Source organism: Homo sapiens, chromosome 21, assembly GCF_000001405.40.
Source record: "Homo sapiens chromosome 21, GRCh38.p14 Primary Assembly".
NCBI lineage: Eukaryota > Metazoa > Chordata > Mammalia > Primates > Hominidae > Homo > Homo sapiens.
Window position 1 is genome coordinate 29,212,449 of NC_000021.9, and position 20,761 is coordinate 29,233,209.

At 40.1% G+C, this 20,761-nt stretch overlaps 1 long non-coding RNA gene and 1 pseudogene across 1 annotated transcript in view; both read left to right on the plus strand.

The window, feature by feature from the left end:
* LINC00189 (long intergenic non-protein coding RNA 189) overlaps nt 1–20,761 on the plus strand; it is a 94,712-nt gene that overhangs the window by 18,955 nt on the left and 54,996 nt on the right. The gene's annotated exons all lie outside the window — the stretch shown is intronic.
* Nucleotides 9,806–11,018, plus strand: GAPDHP14 (glyceraldehyde-3-phosphate dehydrogenase pseudogene 14; annotated as a pseudogene).

Genomic DNA, 20,761 nt, shown 5'->3' on the forward strand with positions numbered 1-20,761 from the left:
CACCTGTCCTGTGTCCCTGTAAGTCCAGGAAACTCCAGTTCCTCTCAGGGCCCGTGCTGTTGCTGGGGCCCAGAACCTGCCCCAATTTAGCTGGCTCCAGCTGGCTAGGGGTGGGGGACGATGGGAAGGGTGTGGTAGTGGTAAGCTGTCTTACTCCCTTCCTGCCAGACACCCCAGTCTCTATAAGCAGTTATTCTGAAGACTCTCATTTGGCATGCGCTATGGACTGAACGTGTGTCCCCCGCCCCGCCTAAATTCATATGCTGAAACTGTAATCCCTAAGATGATGGTATGAGGAGGTGGAGACTTCAGGAGGTAATTAGGTGGAGCCCTCATGATGGGACTGGTGCCCTTTTAAGAGACAGGAGAGCGCTTGCTTCCTCTCTCTCCACCATGTGAGGACATACCAAGAACTGATTCAGCCTGCACCTGGGTCTTCACTTCCAGCCTCCAAAACTGTGAGAAATAAATTTCTGTTGCCTAAGCCACTCAGCCTATGACATTTTTGTTATGGCAGTCTGAACTAACTAAGGCAATATGAGAATGGGAGAGAAGCGCTCCAGCTACTCTCCCAGGGGGAGGTGGGACAAACATACAAAGAAATCCCTATTAATCTTTGTACTCCTCCTGAATGGAAACTGAAGGAAGGTGAAGTAGATGAGGTTCAAGTCACCTCCTAGCAAATCATACACAGATATTCTAAAACTCTCTTTAAGTTTTGAAACTGGTGCACCATGATAATTCCACTGAACTAATTAATTGTCTCTGGTTGGAAAAATCTCAAAATTGTGAGGTACACGATTTAGAAAGAACAAGGACTATAAATACATTTAAAATATTTTTCCTAACCCTCCATACTAAGATGCAAAAAAATACCAATATTCATCTTCTCTGAAGCATGAATCACCTCAGAATAGCCCACGATGTACACTAATATGTGGAAGTACCTTCATGGGATTTAAATATATTTACCTTTCAATTATAGAATTAAGATGATTTTGGAAAATGGATAAAGAGACATTGAAATGTGGAAAAGTTGAACTCTTACACACTCATGCAAAATAGTTGATTTCCTCTTTTTGGCAATATCCCACCTGCTTTGCCCCTGCAACCCTCTGCATTCCTTGCTGCTGCCACACATGGAGGCATAGATACATGCTCTCACACACACACACACACACACAAACACACAAACACATAGACACACACAGACACATACAGACACATACACAGACACAGACATACAGACACAGACACACACACAGACACATACACAGACATATACACACAGACACATACACAGACACACATACAGACACAGACACACACACACACACACAGACACACACACAGACACAAATACAGACAATACAAACACACATACAGACATATAACATACAGACACACACACAGACACACACACAGACACAAGTACAGACACTGCAGACACACAGACACACATGCAGACACAGACAGACACACACAGACACACAGACACAAATACAGACACTACAAACACATACAGACATATATACAGACACACACAGACACACATAGACACACACACAGACACACAGACACAAGTACAGACACTGCAGACACACAGACACACACGCAGATACATACAGACACAGGCACATACAGACACACACATATACACAGGCACACACAGACACACACAGACACACACAGACACACACAGACACACAGACACATATGGAGACACACATACAGACACACATGCACACACAGACACACAGACATATACACAGACATACAGACACACAGACATATACACAGACACAGGCACACACACATGCACACAGACATACAGACACAGACACATCAGGCACACACGTAGACACATACACACAGATACACACATAGACACATACAGACACACAGACACACATAGACACACACAGAGACACACATACAGACACTTAGACACACCTGTGTATGGGAAAACAAGCCCTTAGTCTTTCCACTTCCTATTTGTCCCCTGACCCTTCTTCTATACCGTATACTCCATTTCAACCTTCCAATGCCGTTTACCATGTTCTGGATCTCCCATGCCTTGTAAATCCTGACAACATTTGTGTGTCTTTTGTCCTAGACCTTTGGGCTTCACTTTCTACTCACTGCCAAGAAAAAGTAATTCCCGATAGTGTTCTTGTTGGGGGTAAAAAGACATTCTTATGTGGTATCTCTCAGGCACCAAATGTACACCTTCTTTGCTCTCTTCAGTTCACACCACATAGACAAGCCTATAAAGAATTCCTTCTAGGAGGTTATTTGACATCTATTGAATTGGTTTTGGGGGCTCAGCCAAAAATAAGATAACGGAAAAATTTTATTTCATACCCTATTATATAGTAAATATTGTCCAGATTTAATAAACGATGTTTCTATTCTTTGCAAGTAGAATTATTTATCAGTAAATCCTAAGTGGCTTTTTAAAAATGACTAGAGTTTCCTGGAGACTAAAGCTTTCACACAAGTTTAATTTTAAAGCTTTTCATTATTTTCTTTGTCTTCATTAGTCTTTAAGCAGCAAGTTCTCATTATAAACTAAACCATGCAAAGCGTGTAATATACAAGACACTCCTCCCGCTCCCTTGCAGCCGGAGGCATCCATGAACTTAGTAAAGATTGTTTCAGCAGAAATGCAAAAAGAGTCCATTTTTGGCCTTTGGCTGCAAAAAAGTCCCTTGAATCCTCCCAATTTTTTTTCAGCACTTTCATTGGTTAATTCCTACTCGTTAAAAAAAATTACTTGAGGTAAGACTGCTATACAAAAAGCCATACATAGTTAATGTGTACAACTTAATGAGTTTGGAGATTAGTATATACCCATGAAACCATCACCACAATCTATGGTACAAACCTATTCGTCACCTCCGAAAGTTTCCATCTACCCTCTTCATTTATTATTATTATATTTTTGGTGATAAGAATCCTTAACATGAAAAATACTCTTAGTAGGTTTGTAAGTATACAATACAATATTGTTAGGTTATGCAACATAAAAAATACTACTCATTTTTTATCACTTGGCTCTGGTCTCATCTCTCCATAATGCCTTTGCCAGTTTCTACTAAGTTCTCCTATTTTGACTTGATAGTATTAATGCATACCCTTATCTCGGTACTTCATATGCACCTTGAAATTATCCGTGTTACCTCTTTCTCAGTCCTTACAATGTTCTCGGAAGGAACCATGTCTTACTCTTCTTTGTTACCCCTCTTCCAAAGTGCCTATCACATAGTAGGTGCTCAATAAATGTTTATTGAATAGAGAGAAATAGGTAAGATTAGGATCCATTTCTGATCACATTTTACAAGCAACAAAACTAACGCTCTCCAGGAATGGGCAAACTATTTCAGTAAAGGGCCAGAGAGTAAATATGTTATGCTTTGTTGGCCATCTGGACTCTTTCACAACTACTTAACTCTGCTGTTGTAGCAGGACAGCAGCCATAGACAATCTGTAAATGACTGGGTGCGGCTGTGTTCCAATGAAACTTTATTTACAAAACAGATGGCACACAGATTTGCTTCTAAGGCTCTAGTTTGCAGCTTCTCCTCTACTAAACTAAGAGTGGTTTACTGACTTAGTTTCACATCTAGAGTATATTTGTGTATGGCAAAACTCAAAGTCTTTTTACATAGTTGAATGATAGTATATTGTGGTGGAATAGTAATCTGCTCAATAGTTTGCTAGTGGTCTAAAGATCTGATGTTCAATCAAAGATGTGTAATTTACTACTAAGAGGAAGCAAGTTAAGCCTCACTAATTCTAATGTACTTGTGAGTGGAAAGATACAATGAATATCATGTTAAGAAAATAGTACACGTTTAAGAACAATCTGTTCCCCTATGGTCTCCTAGGTCATCAAGAGAATGGACTCTTTAATGGACAAGAATTATGTGCTCAGTAAAATGGTAATATTGGCTCTGCCTGTCAAAGGAAGCGTTCATTATTCACAGGTGTATATTTATCAGCATCTTCCTGAGTTGATGCCTGTTTCCCAACCATTTCTTGGCATTAAAGACTTCCTCTGGTAGGTCTATCTCCTCACAGGGCTCCATGTGGTCCAGGCTGGATCTTTGCATATATGGCTTTTCCCACCAGGATGTGGGGGTGTTAGAGGATAGATTCCAAGATCTCCAAGGTCCCAAGCAGTCCTCAAATTTATTAGCTATTATCTCTTTTCAAATGCATCTTTTCCATGCGAGCCCCTTTTGGCTTGAAACATTATCTAAGTTTAAATTAGCTGTTTCTTCTCTGACCTCAAGTTGCTGCAACACATATGGCAGGATTATCTTGGCTATTAATCTGATCTCTGTGTAATTCCCTCTCCTTCTGTTTCTTACCTTCAGTGAATCCAGGGGCACCCGTAAACTCTAATCACACATTGATCTAAGCATTTCAGATACTTGCTTGTAAAGACTACCTGAACCTGGGGCTGAGACTGTGAGGAGAAGATGGAAGAGGGGTGATTGGGATATGAGAGAAAAGTGTGGAGGCAACAGATTTTTCGGAGTGAAGCCAGGAAGTAGAAGGAGGACCAGGAAGTAGAAGGAGGACCGGGAAATGGAAGGAGTGCCAGGAAGTGGAAGGAGTCAATGCCACACTGTGCTTGAAATCAACTTGCCCTCAGTGACTCAATGCCCGTGGACAACACACCATCTAAAAGTGTTGGGTCCTTATTTGTCCCCTGAACAGAAGGTAGGCTTCTTGGTTGCCTTGTCAGGGCAGAAAGCGTGGAAGAAAAACATGGTATCCTGGCCTACATGCAGCTGATCAGAACAGCTGGGAATTTCCCTGTGAGATGGAACAACTCTGGACCTACCACTGCTGTTACCCGCACTGCTTCGCCTTTAATGGTTGTTATTTCTCATGGGTTAGTCTTGTTTTTAGTTACTATTTTATGAAGAAATTCCTTCCTCTCAAGGTAGATAGAATAAGATCAACCTCACGGAGTTATTGTGGGGATAAAATAAGAGGACGTGTGGGCCGGGTGCGGTGGGCTCACGTCTGTAATCCCTGTACTTTGGGAGGCTGAGGCGGGTGGAGCACTTGACGTCAGGAATTCGAGACCAGTCTGGCCAACATGGCGAAACCTCGTCTCTGCTAAAAATACAAAAATTAGCTGGGCATGGTGGTGCACACCAGTAATCCCAGCTATTTGGGAGGCTAAGGCAGGAGAATTTCTTGAACCTAGGAGGCAGAGGCTGCAGTGAGCCAAGATTGAGTCTCTGCACTCCAGCCTGGGTGACAGAGCAAGACTCTGTCTCCAAAAAAAAAAAAAAAAAAGCAAGTATGGAATGCCTCTGAAATTATTATGATATTCCAAAATAAAGAATTGTTATATGTTAAAAGCTCCCTGAGGATCAAGTTTTGGACTCCTCTCATCTCACGTAATGACTCATATGACAGCATATCATCAGGATATGGTTTATGAGATTTTCCTGGAATTACATCATATTGATGACACATTTATGCGCCTTTGCAATTACAAAATTCCTCCTATGTTGAATGTTGTTATTCTCCCCTCATGATTCAGTTCAAATGCCTTCTTCTCTTTAACGCCTTTGTCAACATCCCACTTCCTCCAGTCTCCCCAGTGCTCTGCTCATAATTCTCCTATCCACATCACATTGTGTAATGATTGTTTATTTACATGTCTGATTATCCTGCTAGTTTGTGAGCACTTGGAGAAGAGAAAATGCACAGCCTATATTTTATTCATGTCTGTATGCCCAACGTGTGCACCAACTGACAGCATAAGTGCTCCATGTGTATTCAATATTTCCTAAATGTAAAGTTGAGAGTAGTCCTTCAGCTTTGGGATTTTGTTGACGTTCTCAGTGAAACCCAGGTTTGGAACTCTAACAAATATATTTGAATATTTCTCGGGCCTATAAATGCAGCTTGGAACTAAAGACATCTGGTCTACTATAAAAATCTTCTGAATGGTCTCTATTCCTCTATTCATGTTTCCTTTCAATCATTTTCCAATTCCTGCCAAAGAGAATATTCCAAAACAAATCTGTTTATTACTTTTTAATTAAAAGTCTTCAAAGTCTTCCCCTTGCTAAAGGATAAAATTTTTTTTAGGGTGGCATCCAAGACCTTACTTAATTTAATCCTCTCGATCTTCCATGACTTATCTCTTGATGCATCTTCTCCATTCTCCCCTCAGTCCCCCACCAATACACACAACTACCTCACAACCCTGCACTTTCCACCCCACCTACCTGCTTTATAGATGCTGAATTACAAGTAATTATCTAAATGGACCACACTGCAGGAACTTCTGTAGCCATTTTCCATCATTGTCCTGTTCTTTCATTGTTGTTTCTATTTCTTTTTTTATCTCCCTAATTATTTAAACCATATTTTACAGACTTGTTACATTTACTGACTCTCATGGTGGTGGAGATGGATTTTTTCCTAGTGTGCCTGTGTGTGGGTGAGTTTTGTTTTATTTGCTTATTTTATTGTGAGATCATTTTCAGCAGGGGTTGATTCGCTTCCCACTCCCAGGTAGTAGAAGTACCAGTTTTGCCAGTTTCCTAGTGGTTTTATGGGTCCTAGACCAGCTCTATGTTAATGTCCCAGCTTGGGATTTTGATAGCATGGGGACAATATAAATTGGAGCCTTACATGCTTGTGTGCCTTAGGTTTGCAATTTCTCGTTTTTTCCCTACTGAGTCGCGGGTAGATGGCAAACTTCCTTGCTACCTCTCTAGGCTTTTGGGTGGAGTATTTCTAGTTCCTTTTTAACAGATGGGCCTGGCTAAATGTAGAGGATTCAGCTCTAGCTCTCCATGTCAGATCTCACATGGGTCAGTGTCCTTACCCTCTTCCTGCCTGGACATTAAAACTCAGCTGTATTGCTAAGCAGGCCTGACAACCCCGTGAGAGGCTGTTGCATCAGCTCTATTTACTAGCCTGTATTTAATTTCCCTCTTCCTTGCTTAAACCTATGGGTTTGTTTCTGTTTTCTTTTTTCAAGCTCAATCATTTTTCCTTACGCTGTTTTATCTAGCATGTGGGAGAATTGGTGTCAGTGTAGTCCAATAGGTTGTTGGAGGGCCTCTGTGTTACCTGCTGTGGTTATTCCCACGTTCTCCTTTACATGGAAGACTCTGTCATCAAACCAACCCAGACTGCAGGGCAACCTTGCTCTTCATACTCAGCCGAGCATCCCCTTCTCTATTGAACTTTTTTAAACCTTTCTCCAGATTAGAATTAGTCTCTCCCTCACTGGTACTTCCACCACACACTGTTTAGTTTTAAACCGTAAGACCCGTGACGCTGATGTGCTTACATTGTGTTCATGAGTCCTTTTTCCTTCTTGAAGATTATATTTTATTTATCTTTGTGTCCTTAGGGTCCTGCGCTTTGCAGGGTCCATAACAGGTGTTTAATACAAGCCAAATAATGGATGAATGAGTGAATACATAAAATGGGTGGATAATAAGAAATGACAGAATAGTAGCAATAGTAGAATTTCATAGTTCCCCTAGGTCAGGCATGGTGGTGTGCACCTGTAGTCCTTGCTATCCAGTAGGCTGAGGCAGGAGGATCACATGAACCCAGGAGTGCCAGGCTGGAATAAACTATGATTACGCCACTGCACTCCAGCCTGACAACAGAGTGAGACCCTAAAAAGAAGAGAGAAAAGTTCCTCTCTCTCTGTCTTTATGCTGTGTTTCTAGGCCACATCTATAAATAAATTAAGAAAGTCAAATTTAAACTATCTTATCCTGAAAAGAAGTGAAATGTAAGATGTTTATTGAAACTAGCAGCGATCACATCTAGTGCCCCCCATGTGCCAGGCACATTAAATTCACATATCTACTTTTTACAGCAACATTTTGATGTAGGTGCTATGAATATTCTTTTTACACGTGAGGGAAATGAGTCACCAAAAGGTTGAATAACTTGACCAAACTCAAAAATGATAGAGCTGGGATTTGAGCTCAGGTAGTCTGGCTCCAGAGTCTGTATTTTTAACCATAATATTAGATAACCTATCAGTACTAACGAAGAAGACAGAAGGAAGTTTCTGGGTCCATTTTTTTAAAGGAATTATTTGTGAGTTTAAAGTGAATCATTATTTTCTGATGAATATTCAGGTACTTTTTAGAACCCTGCCATGCGGGAAGATAAAAGTCTCACTCAGTAAAATACCTCTAAATTTAACTGATAGGTTTAAAAATCCTTCCACAATTGAACCTAGATTTCAGATGTTGTTATTTAAACACCTTTCTTTCTGTTTCCTTCCTTATTCACAGGAAAAAAAAAAAAAAAGAACAAATACAACCACCTCCTTTTGGTCTTCCTAGAAATATAAGTTGAAGCCTTATTAGAAATCATTTGGTATACATCCCTTTTCCTTAAAATCCGGAAAGCACCACGAATATTTTGAATTTATTTTATTTTATTTTTGAGATGTAATCTCACTCTGTCACCCAGGCTGGAGTGCAGTGGCACAATCTTGGCTCACTGCAACCTCCACCTCTCACGTTCAAGCAATTGTCTCACCTCAGCCTCCCAAGTAGCTGGGACTACAGGCTCCCGCCACCACACCCAGCTAATTTTTGTATTTTTAGCAGACGCAAGGTTTCACCATGTTAGTCAGGGCGGTCTTGAACTCCTGACCTCAAGTGATCCACCTGCCTGGGCCTCCCAAAGTTCTGGGATTGCAGACGTGAGCCACTGGGCCAGGCTATTTTGGATATACTGATAGAAAATCACCCTGCTCATTCATTCTCCTTATCACCGACTGAGAAGTAAGAAGCAAGACATACTGGATGGAGCAAAGCAACAGGCTCCATCTGCCCAGTCATTTTGACTGTCATACTGCCTGCAGGTGGTAACCACAATGCTTATACTTGTGGATGCAGAGGCCCAATAATTCCTGCATTGCAAATATGATCTCATCTCCTATCGAAGCTCCTTTAATGGAATTTTGTGGAGAAGTGATAACCTTCCCTGAATGTAAGAGTGGGCGAAAGAATCTCAAACCACAAGACACATTGACCATAAGCAAAATGGGAATGTGTTTTTGGAGCAGCAGAAACTTTTTACTTAGGATTATTAAAGAATATGCTAAAGAAAGATAAGCAACTTGAGCGGTTACTAAATATACCAAGCATGCATGGGGCTGAGATATGTGGGGTTATGTGCAGCTGAGCAAACAAAATGACTATTTTTGTAGGGACCCTGAGTGTGTGGCGCTTTGGGTTTGATGACGCACCTCACTATTTAAGGAATGCTGGAGAATTATCCTATCTGAAGTCCAGAACAGATTTTTCTCTTCGAGAGAAAATTAGTTTTTTAATGTTTGAATGGACATTGAGTAAAATGTATCATGAAAATATCTAATAATTTACCATGCCACCAAGATGGCACAGCCTCAGAGCCATGCTGAGATCAGAAGAAAATTGAAATAATTGGTAGAGTACAAAGGGCTTCATTTTTCTTTTCCTTTTTGGCAATAAACTGGCTCCATTACAGTGTTAGTGAGTTTCAGAAAATGGATGGTTATTGACATGAGATTACTTGTGAAGCATAGTGTAGATCATTCAGTTGAAAAGGATTGTGTTTTTTTCTTTTTAAGCCCAAAGTACTATATTTAGGTCAATATTTAAACACATGGTAGAACTTATTAAAAGTAGTAAAATTGAAATGTTTGTCACTTAATGAATGATTGGCAACCTTGCTTAAGATATCTTGGCCACGTGTGGGCTCATAAGCAAGATCCTTAAGGTATTTAAAAGGAAATTAGGCTCTCTGCTCCTCCGGTTTGGCAGCCACATTTTCTCATGCAGTGTCAGCCGTGTCCCTGAGACACCATGGTGGAAGTGCAGGTCAGACTAAACGGATTTGGCCATATTGAGTGCCTGGTCACCAAGGCTGCTTTTAACTTTGGGAAGCAGATATTGTTGTCATCAATGATCCTTTCATTGACCTCAACTACATGCTCTGCATATTCCAGTATGATTCCATGGCATTGGCAAGGCTGAGAATGGGAAACTTGTCATCAGTGGAAATCCTATCACCGTGTTCCCGGAGGAAGATCCCACCAAAAGCAAATGGGGTGATGCCAGTGCTCATTATGTTGGGGAGCCCACTGGCATCTTCACTCCCACTCCCATGGAGAAGGCTGGGGCATACTGAGAGTAGGGAGTCAAAATGGTCATCATCTCTGCCCTGTCTGTTGATGACCCCATGTTCGTGATGGGGGTGAACCATGAGAAGTTCAAAAACAGCCTCAAGATCATCAGCGATGCCTCCTGTACCACCAACTTCTTCGCACCCCTGGTCAAGGTCATCCATGCCAACTTTGGCATCATGACTTATGACCACAGTCCATGCCATCACTGCCACCTACAAGACCAGGGAATGGCCCCTCTGGGAAACAGTGGTGCGACAGCCGCGGGACTCTCCAGAACATCATCTGTGCATCTACTGGTGCTGCATCTACCAAGCTGAACAGGAAGCTCACTGGCATGTCCTCACCACCAATATGTCGGTCATGGACCTGACCTGCCATCTGGAGAAACCTGCCAAATATGATTACATCAAGAAGGTGGTGATGCAGGCATTGGAGGGCCCCTTCAAGGGCATCTTGGGCTACACTGAGCACCAGGCTGTCTCCTCCAACTTTAACAGTGACATTTACTCTTCCACTTTCCATGCTGGATCAGCATTGCCCCCAACAACCACTTTTTCAAGTTCATATCCTGGTATGATAGTGAATTTGGCTACAGCAATAGGGTGGTAGGCCTCAAAGGAGTAAGGCCCCCAGACTGCCAGCCCCAGCGAGAGCACGAGAGGGAAAAGAGAGGCCCTCAGCTGCTGGGGAGTCCATGCCACACCCAGTCCCCCATGACAGTGAGAATCTCCCTGCCTCACTGGTTCCATGGCAAACACCCTGAAGTGGGAGGGGCCTAGGGAGCCCCACCTTGTGTACCATCAATAAAGTCTCCTGTACTCAAAAAAAGAAAAGAAAAGAAATTATACTGAAAGATAGTATTTAATAAAGAGTTCAGATGTTTTATGTTCATATGTGAATCAGTATCAGGCAATGGATTTATCATTTTGGAAATTAAGCTCCCTTGTAAAAAATATCTGAGTTGTTTATTGAGTTACAGGCACTTTCTTATAAAGCTCCAGTTGTTGCTTTTCTCAGAGAACTGGGAAGCCCCTTTCAATTTTGTTGTGTTCTGTGAACAGCTTTCCACCCCGAAGACTGGAAAATCTCTTTTCTAACCATGGGAGAAAAACTGAAGCAGAAACAGCAAGAAATACAGGTATTTTGACAAAAGGATTTTCTCATCCCAGTGCTTTCTTACTGCCTGAAATTCTAGTAGTTAACAATTCTTCAAGAGTCAGATACTTGTCACAGTGTGATATGGTTTGGGTCTGTGTCCCCACCCAAATCTTACCTTGAATTATAATCTGAATTGTAATTCCCACATGTTGAAGGAGGGAGCTAGTGGGAGATGATTGGATTATGGGGGCGGTTTCCACCATGCTGTACTCATGATAGTGAGTGAGTTCTCATGAGATCTGACGGTTTTATAAGTGGCAGTTTCCCCTGCGTGCTCCTCTCTTTCCTGCCACCGTGTAATACATACCTTGCTTCCCCTTCCCCTTCTGCCATGATTGTAAGTTTCCTGAGGCCTTTCCAGCCATGAGGAACTGTGAGTCAATTCAACCTCTTTTGTTTATAAATTACTCAGTCTCAGGTAGTATCTTTGTAGCACTGTGAGAACGGACTAATATACAATGACTCAGAAAGAAAAAGACATCTTTTGACTTTGGAGGGATATATTTTTAGGGTGAGATGATATAAATGGGGATCTCACGGTACCAGGATAGTTGACCTCAGTTGACCAAAGAGCCTAAGCTGAAAAACAAAAATAGTAGCTTATTTTTAAAAATAGCTAATGCTATAGAGGAAAGCAGTAAGTAACTTGGAGAAAAGGCAGAGAAAGCACAAACACGGTCAACATCTGGAGAAGCTTGAACCTCATATGGCAGATCATAATTGTAACACAATTGCTTATTTTATACCCTGAAAATTTTCAGTTCTAAATGAAATCTTGCTGGGTAAGAATATTTTTCAATGACTATTTTAAAGAAAAGCAATTCTGCCAGTTTTGTGGTATATGGTTATTAAAGAGTTAAAGAGCAACAGTTAAGTCATATTGTTAATACTGTGGCATAGAAAATAATCTAATCATGTCCTTTGCCCATTTCTAAATTGGATTAATTTTACTAATATATTTTATTTAACCCAATATATATAAATGTTTCATCATGTAATCAACATAAAATGTTAATGAGATTTTTACCTTTTTATTCATAAAGTCTTCAAAATTCAGGATGTATTTTATATTCGGAATGAAACTCAGTTTAAAGTGGTCACATTTCAAGTGCTCAAAACACAGATGTAGCTGTCATATTGAACAGCACACTGCAGATAGTTCTCATTTCTAGCTGGGTGTTTGGCTTTGCAGAAGTCTGAGGTCCGTATGGTTTTTTTTCTCCTTGTAGGTGATTAGCTTTCTGATACCTGAACAATTATTTTTCATTCTTACAATTCAATAACTTAACAAAGATACATATCAAAGAGGTCCATACTTAATTTTCATGTTCATTCACTGTGCCAATTGAGTTCTCATTTCAGGACTGTTACTTATTTTGTGATATATCTTTGTAATACTTTTCTTATTCCACTGTTGAGTTATTTTTTCTTCTGAGACATCAGTTAACATTTGTTGGGCTCTCTATTTTTGTCCTCCATATCTAGTAGTTTCTTTATGATTCTTTAAGCACCTCATGTTATTTGCATTACTGTAATTATCACAATCTTTTTCTAAATGTAAGTATATTGATTTTGTTTTCTGCTCTTTTGATCTTATTTAACTTGTGTTTTTAGCTTGCTTAATTTTGATGACATTATTTTGGTTCTTATTTCCTGTTTCATACTACAGCATTCTTTATATTCTAATCTTTTTGCTCTCATTTTGTCAAATTCAAGTGGCTATTGTAAGCTTGTCCTATTACTCAAAGCTTTTTTGAAAATGTTCCTTCTTACTGCAGTCGAGTCATATAAATGAATAAACAACAAAAATATACAAGAGAATTTTTTTAAAAAGAAAACTAAAGAAAATGTTCCTTCTGTTTCTTGTTTGCTTTAGTTTTTTTTCCCTTAAGATTAGGTTGTTTATTTGGTATCTAGCTAATGTTGGTCTTGTAAAATAAAGTGGGAAGTGTTTCCTCCTCTTCTAAGGAAGAGCTTATGTGGAATTTGTGCTATTTCTTTTTTAAATGTTTGGTAGAACTGATTGGTGAAATAATTTGTCCAAGAGATACCTTTTTCAGATGTTTAAACTATCAATTCAATTTCTTTAATAGTTTTAGGACTATCCAGGTTATCTATTTCATCTTAGGTAAGCTTTGGTATTTATTGATTTTGGAGAAATTGGTCCATTTTATCTCAGTTGTCAAATGTATGTGTATAGAATTACTTGTAGCCATTATATATTATCTTTTTTTCACATCCATGGGGTTTGTAGTCATATATTCTCTTTCACTCCTGATCTTGCCAAGTCAGTTCCAAATAATAGAAATTTTCAGTTGATAGAATTCCAAGAAAATTAGATTTTATCTCAAAGAATTCCAAGAAAATTAGATTTTATCTCAAAGTAAAACAAAATAAGACCTCTAGATCTTGAAATCGATGTATCTCAAGTTAATATGTTCAAAATGAATTTCATCATCTGTTTTCCAATTCCTTTTCCTGTTACATACCTTTCTTTTTCAAATGTCACTTATCCAAGACAAAAACTGGGGTACTTCACTATCCCCTTTCCCTAATCCCCCAACTGGTGTGTTAGTTTTGAAAGTTTGCCTTTTTAATATCTCTAGGAGGCATTCCATTTTCTCTAGCCTATCTGCACTGCACTTGTTCAGATTCCCTTTACTTCTTTCCAGGATTATTTCAGAAGCCTCTAAATGATTTTTCCGCCTTTGGCTTTAGCTTCCTTCTAAACTATTCTCTATGTTGTAGCCAAGCCATATTTTTAAAGTATGATTCTAGGAATATTATCTACCCCTCACTATCATGGAAATCCTTTAGAGTTTGCCTTAGTCTTTCAGGCTGCTATAACAAAAATCCATAAACTTAGGTGGCTTATAAACAATAAACATTTGTTTCACACAGTTCTGGAGCCTGAGAAGTCCACGATCAAGATGCCAATACATTCAGTGTCTGGGGAGGGTCTATTTCTGGTTCATAGAAGACGTCCTCTAGCTGTGTCCTCACATGGTGGAAGGCTCAAGCTAGCTCTCTGAAGCCTCTTTTACAAGGGCACTCATCCAATTAATGAAGTCTCTGCCCTCATGACCTAATCACTCCACAAAAGGTCACACTTCCTAATATCATCATGTTGGGGGTTAGGATTTCACCATATGAATTTTGGGGGACACAAACAGAACATAGCAGAGGCCCTCTGCAGTGGTTGAGATAGAGAATAAACTCCCAGGCACATTTGCTCTTTCTGTGTTTTTGTTTGTTTATTTGTTTGTTTGTTTGTGATCAGATCCCTGCCAGTGTCCATTTTCACATGTTGACACTCTCTTGTTTTTGTACTCCAGCCATTGCGTTTATTTCACCAAGCTTTTATTCATCTCTGTGACTTTACACAAATTGTTCTTTATGCTTGGGGTGCTCTCCCTTGTCACAGCTCCTCTCCTGTCTAAGACATGCTTAGAAGATTCAAGAATAAGCTCCTTTGGTGGCCTCCCTGACCTTCCTCATCTCAGTCCCCTGTGTACTCTCAAAATATCCTGTACACGCTGTTTGACACTTACATTTTACTTGTCTAAGCCCGCTTCAGGCAGAGACTGTATCTTTTTCATATTTATCTTGGTACATAGTAAGTACTCAATAATTATTGAGTGAAGTTCAAATCTTTTGCATTAAGGGATATGAAATTCCAACTGGAAAAGTTAACAATTGTAATGTGAGAATAATATCTTTAATTAATTTTGTTTGCTTGCATATTTTCATTTTGTCCTTATAGTAACTCTGTGAATTAACAGGAACCCTCAATTGAATAGAGAAACAAAGTGAGGCTTGGGAGGGTTGGTAATTTTCCCAAAGTAACTCAGCTAATAAGTGGCAGAACCAGGAGTCTGGTATGTGGTCTTAATTTAAAGCTGTTTTCTTCCCACTCTAACATCAAGCCCAGAATAGGAGAATAAAGGGTAAGAGAACCTGAAGGTGTTTTAAATGTGCTCATACCCCCAGTATTAGGTAAATTACTTTTCAGGGTATAAAGGTCTCCTGGATGTGTTATCAGAGACAGTAGGGAACTGCAGAGATGAAAGAAGCTTGGAAATGTGCAAATATTTAAAAAGTGTATCTGAGAAATCCTTTTCTCAGAATTTTTTATTAGCTAGATCGTTGTTGAACATTTGGAATAGAAGATGGCAATCAATCAGGACTGACACACGTTTCCTTCGAATAGATCAGGTAAAGTAAACTCCAATTTTCTTTCTATTCTAAGTTTCCTAGATTGTATGATCACAATAAAATAGCAGACAAAATGTTCACTTATTTGTTCTGGGACCACCCCTCCCCCCCACCACCAGTTGTCATCATTGGGCCAAAATCCACACAGAATAAGATAAAGTAATCAGCAAATTCAAATGAATTAGCAAGGACCAGTCTCAAGACTGTCTACAAAAAGAATGATCAGATCTTAACTCTAAGTCCTCAAAGGCTTCATCTTCCATGACCCAAGTGGGTGGTCTCCATCTCTATTATCATTGTATGGTATCTACTGCATCCTATAATGTACTTATCCTTTCATGCACCCTAAACATTTCTACAATATCCTAGCAGAGTGAAGAGGCATATTGCCTAGAAACATGGGAGTTTTCAAAGGGATAAGGATTTCTTCATTGTCATGACCTTTTGTACATGATGTACATGATTTGGTGGTGTGTCCCACTATCTGGGCCTTGTGGTTTCCTTACAGACAGTTTCTGCTGTTGTTTTTGTGGTTGGTTCCTCCTTCAGCCTTCTTATCCGTTAGATATCTGTGCAGTTCTTCATTTTTCTTCATAAAAGTAACAATAAACAGCACAAATGAACCCCTGGCAACCTTTATTATTGTATTATACATGAATAAAGCCTATTTTAATAATCTTATGAGCGAGATAAAAGCATGTGGGATGGCTACCTCTGATGTTCCAGATGATTTTTTAAGTAGTTGGACAGTCACACAAAAAGGGTATAAACCAAGGGAGGTCAACCTTAAAAGAAGTTTCTTTGTTCTTTGACTTCTGTGAAAATGTTATCGGAGACTTGAATATAAGCATAAAAGCCACATTTATCAAATTTAAAAATTTATAATGCAAAAAGCTGCCAGCTTAGCGAAAAGAACTCTTTTTTTTTTCTTTTTTTGCTGCTAGTTGAAGATGAAAATTCTAAGTAATCTCACCAGGTTGGACAACTGGCTATGAAATGGCATGAAATATGTAAGTTACTATTGTCAGCTTTAAAAGAGCAAATCTGCAATGATAAGATATAAGATCTGAAAATCTTTGTGGCAGCAGCTTTTGTAAAAACGAAAATAAGACATAAACAAATAAATTAATTACAAATTTGCTGTGAGACCAAAATACCACACAGCCCCCAAAAGCTGAGATAGTCACTGCAGATATTGAAGATCTGCATTCTAAACCACATGTTTTATCCCCAATGTTCAGCTCAATGTATTGTGCTTGGTAGATTCTTAATTATTATTTGTTCAGTAACAAATATAATGATCAGGTCTTTGCAGGAGTATTAAATTAAAATTTGTCTGTTACACTTTAATGGTCAGTTGTTAACCTGGAGTGCACACAAATAATGATAGATCAGCAAGGAGGGTCTAAAAACCACATACTAGGAAGTCCAATGGAAGAATTAGGCGTGTACAGAAGAGAAGGTTAATTTATTAAGAGACCGGCTATTAGGCCGGGCGCGGTGGCTCACGCCTGTAATCCCAGCACTTTGGGAGGCCGAGGCGGGTGGATCATGAGGTCAGGAGATCGAGACCATCCTGGCTAACAAGGTGAAACCCCGTCTCTACTAAAAATACAAAAAATTAGCCGGGCGCGGTGGCGGGCACCTGTAGTCCCAGCTACTCGGGAGGCTGAGGCAGGAGAATGGCGTGAACCCGGGAAGCGGAGCTTGCAGTGAGCCGAGATTGCGCCACTGCAGTCCGCAGTCCGACCTGGGCGACAGAGCGAGACTCCGTCTCAAAAAAAAAAAAAAAAAAAAAAAAAAAAAAAAAAAAAGGGGGCCGGCTATTTTATTATAGATTGTCTTATTCTGTCCCAAGGGAAGTATTCTAATTGATGTTATAGGGAGGCAGGTTTAAACTCAGTATTAAGAAGAGCTTTCTATAATTAATAAAAGACAATGATATGGACTTGTATTAGTTTGTTGTCACACAGCTATAAAGAGCTACCCGAGACTGGGTAATTTATAAAGAAAGGAGTTTTAATTGACTTACAGTTCCACATAGCTGGGGAGGCCTCAGGAAACTTATAATCATGGCAGAAGGTAAAGGAGAAGCAAGCACCTCCTTCACAAGGCAGCAGGAGAGAGAGAGAACAAGGTGGGAAGTGCCACACTTTAAACCATCAGATCTCGTGAGAACTCACTGTCATGAAAATAGCAGAGGGAAACCCGCCCCCATGATCCAAACACTTCTCACCAGGTTCCTCCCCTGACATGTAGGGATTATAATTTCAGATGAGATTTGGGGACGGGAGCACAGAGCCAAACCATATCAGGACTATTGCATGACCATCTATTAGGCACGTTGTAGGGAAAATTTCTATCTATATATTTGGTGTAGTGATTTAGCTTGGATTGTCTTTCCAACTCAAAGACTACATTGGGTAGTAAGAGCTAGTCTAATTTTTTTAAAAAATAATAAATATCTGGGCTATATGCACTTTTTTCATTATCAACAAAACTACTAAAATATCTTTTCACAGATTAAGCCTAACAATGGGGTTTCTAATTCTTTCTTACTATATTACAGTTTTGTTTTTTACAGTTTGTTAGAGATCACTAGACAGTTACTAATATCCATTATTTTGTCAACATGTAGCTATCTCTGTTGGTTTTTAAAATGCTTGAATATTTTCTGAATTTAAGAAGTGATTTTACAGTATTTGCTGTATTTACAGTATTTGCTGATTCAGATCATTATGATTATTTATAAAGCCAATCATATGTTTCTGTTTCTGTGTATTTTACAATTTTTTTCAATATGTAAGTGAGGACTGAGAATTAAGAAGTTTTTTGGAAAATGCTAGTTTTTATTAGATGGTGCCCAGAATATCTCAATAATGAAAAGTTGAGTATGTTGGAGTTAAACCAATTGCCTGCCCTCAATGCAGTGCTTATTTCAGTTTGCTGACAGCACTAGTCAGCAGTTTGCTGTTCTGAGTGTTTACTACCACATCCCTGACATATTCTACCCTGGAATCCCAGGACTCTGTGTTTTCTGGTTACGCTCGGCCTCTCTGGCTTCTTCACAGCTGCCGCTCCCTCATTCTCATCTTAACTGTGGCCACACCCAAAGGAAGGATTTGTAATTCTCTTCTTTGCAATTTTCTGCTTAGAGGTCTCCTCTGCTTCCATGCCTTAAATGGAGAAGCCCCAGTTCTTCACCCATGGCCCTGCCATGAATCTCCCAGCTCTGTGTGAAGGCTCTCCATTGAAATTAACAGGTCTAACATCCACCTCATCACGTTTCTCTTCACAAGAAGACTTTGGGATCTTCTCTGTTTCTGCCAGTGATTCAACCTTTCTCTCAGTCACTAAAGCTCAGATATATTGTAACCACCCAGTGGGTTCACCTTGCCTGCTGCCTAGACAGAATCTATCAAGACAGGGGAATTGCAATAGAGAAAGAATAATTTACACGGAGCCGGCTGTGTGGGGGACCAGAGTTTCATTATTACTCAAATCAGTCTTCCTGAGCATTTGGGGATCACAGGTCTTTTTTTTTTTTTTTGAGATGGAGTCTCATTCTGTTGCCAGGCTGGAGTGCAGTGGCGCGATCTCAGCTCACTGCAACCTCTGCCTCCCAGGTTCAAGTGATTCTCCTGCCTCAGCCTCTCGAGTAGCTGGGACCACAGGTGCCTGCCACCATGCCCAGCTAATTTTTGTATTTCTAGTAGAGACGGGGTTTCACATGTTATCCAGGATGGTCTCGATCTCTTGACCTTGTGATCTGCCTGTCTCAGCCTCCCAAAGTGCTTGGATTACAGGCGTGAGCCACTGGGCCTGGCCCAGGGTGTTTAAGGATAACTTGGTGGGTGGGGGAAGACCAGTGAATTGAGAGTGCTGCTTGGTTGGGTCAGAGATGAAATCATGGCAAGTTGAAGCTGTCCTCTTGTGCTGAGTCAATTCCTGGGTGGGGGCCACAAGATCAGGTGAGCCAGTTTATCAGTCTGGGTGGTGCCAGCTGATCCATCAAAATATCTGCAAAATATTTCAAGCACTAATCTTATGAGCAGTTTAGGGAGGGTCAGAATCCTGTAGCCTCCAGCTGCGTAAGTCCTAAAACATAATTTCAAATCTTGTGGCTAATTGGTCCTATAAAGGCAGTCTAGTCCCCAGGCAAGAAGGAGGCTTGTTTTGGGAAAGGGCTGTTATGGTCTTTGTTGTAAACTATAAATTCCTCCCAAAGTTAGCTCGGTCTATGCCCAGGAAGGGACAAGGACAGCTTAAAGGTTAGAAGGAAGATGGAGTTGGTTAGGTCAGATCTCTTTCACTGTCTCAGTCATAATTTTGCAAAGGCAGTTTCAATATCACAGTTCCTCTCCTCCCTGCTTAGGGAGACAGTGTCCCATAATTGTTAAGAGCACACCCTCTGACTCAAGCCATCTAGGTTCAAATCCTAGCCCTTCCCTTCTCCAGTTGCCGAACTCGAACAAGTATTGTAGCCTCTTCAAGCCCCATTTTTCATATCTGTAAAGCGGAGATCGTAACAAACTGTACATGTCGATGATGTCCACAGAGTTGGATCAAGGGTTACGAATCTGACAGCCCAAACCTCCAGACTGGCTGTGCTATTATTTCAGTTATTCTGACATGGCTCTGATGCAATGTGGACGTCAACAAAGCATTAAAAGTGAGAGACAGATTAGTAAGCAACTCCCTAAGGGTGGATTTTTAAATATGCACTAAAATTGTGGAGAAGTTAATATACTATATTAGTTCACTAGGGCTGCCATAAAAAAGTGCCAGAAGGACGCTAGGTGACTCAGAAAACAAAAATTTGTTTTCTCACAGTTCTGGAAGCTGTGAATCTAAGATCAATGTGTCAGCAGGTTGACTTCTGAGGCCCCTCTCCCTGGCTTGTAGATCTGTGACTTCAGATTGTCTTCCTTCTGTGTGTCTGTGTCCTAATCTTATAAGGACACCAGTCAGATTACATTAGGACCCATGCCAATAACCTCATTTTACCTTAATTACCTCTTTAAAGCCTTTATGTCTGTTAAAGCAAACTATAGCCTGAGAAGGACTCCCTACTTCTATATTTGAGTCCTTGCGGATGAACCGTAACCTAACTTAATAGGCAGATAAAATTGAAAACCTAACTTAGTAGTATGCACCTGTAACAATAGCTAAATCCTAGCCAATCCCAGCAGC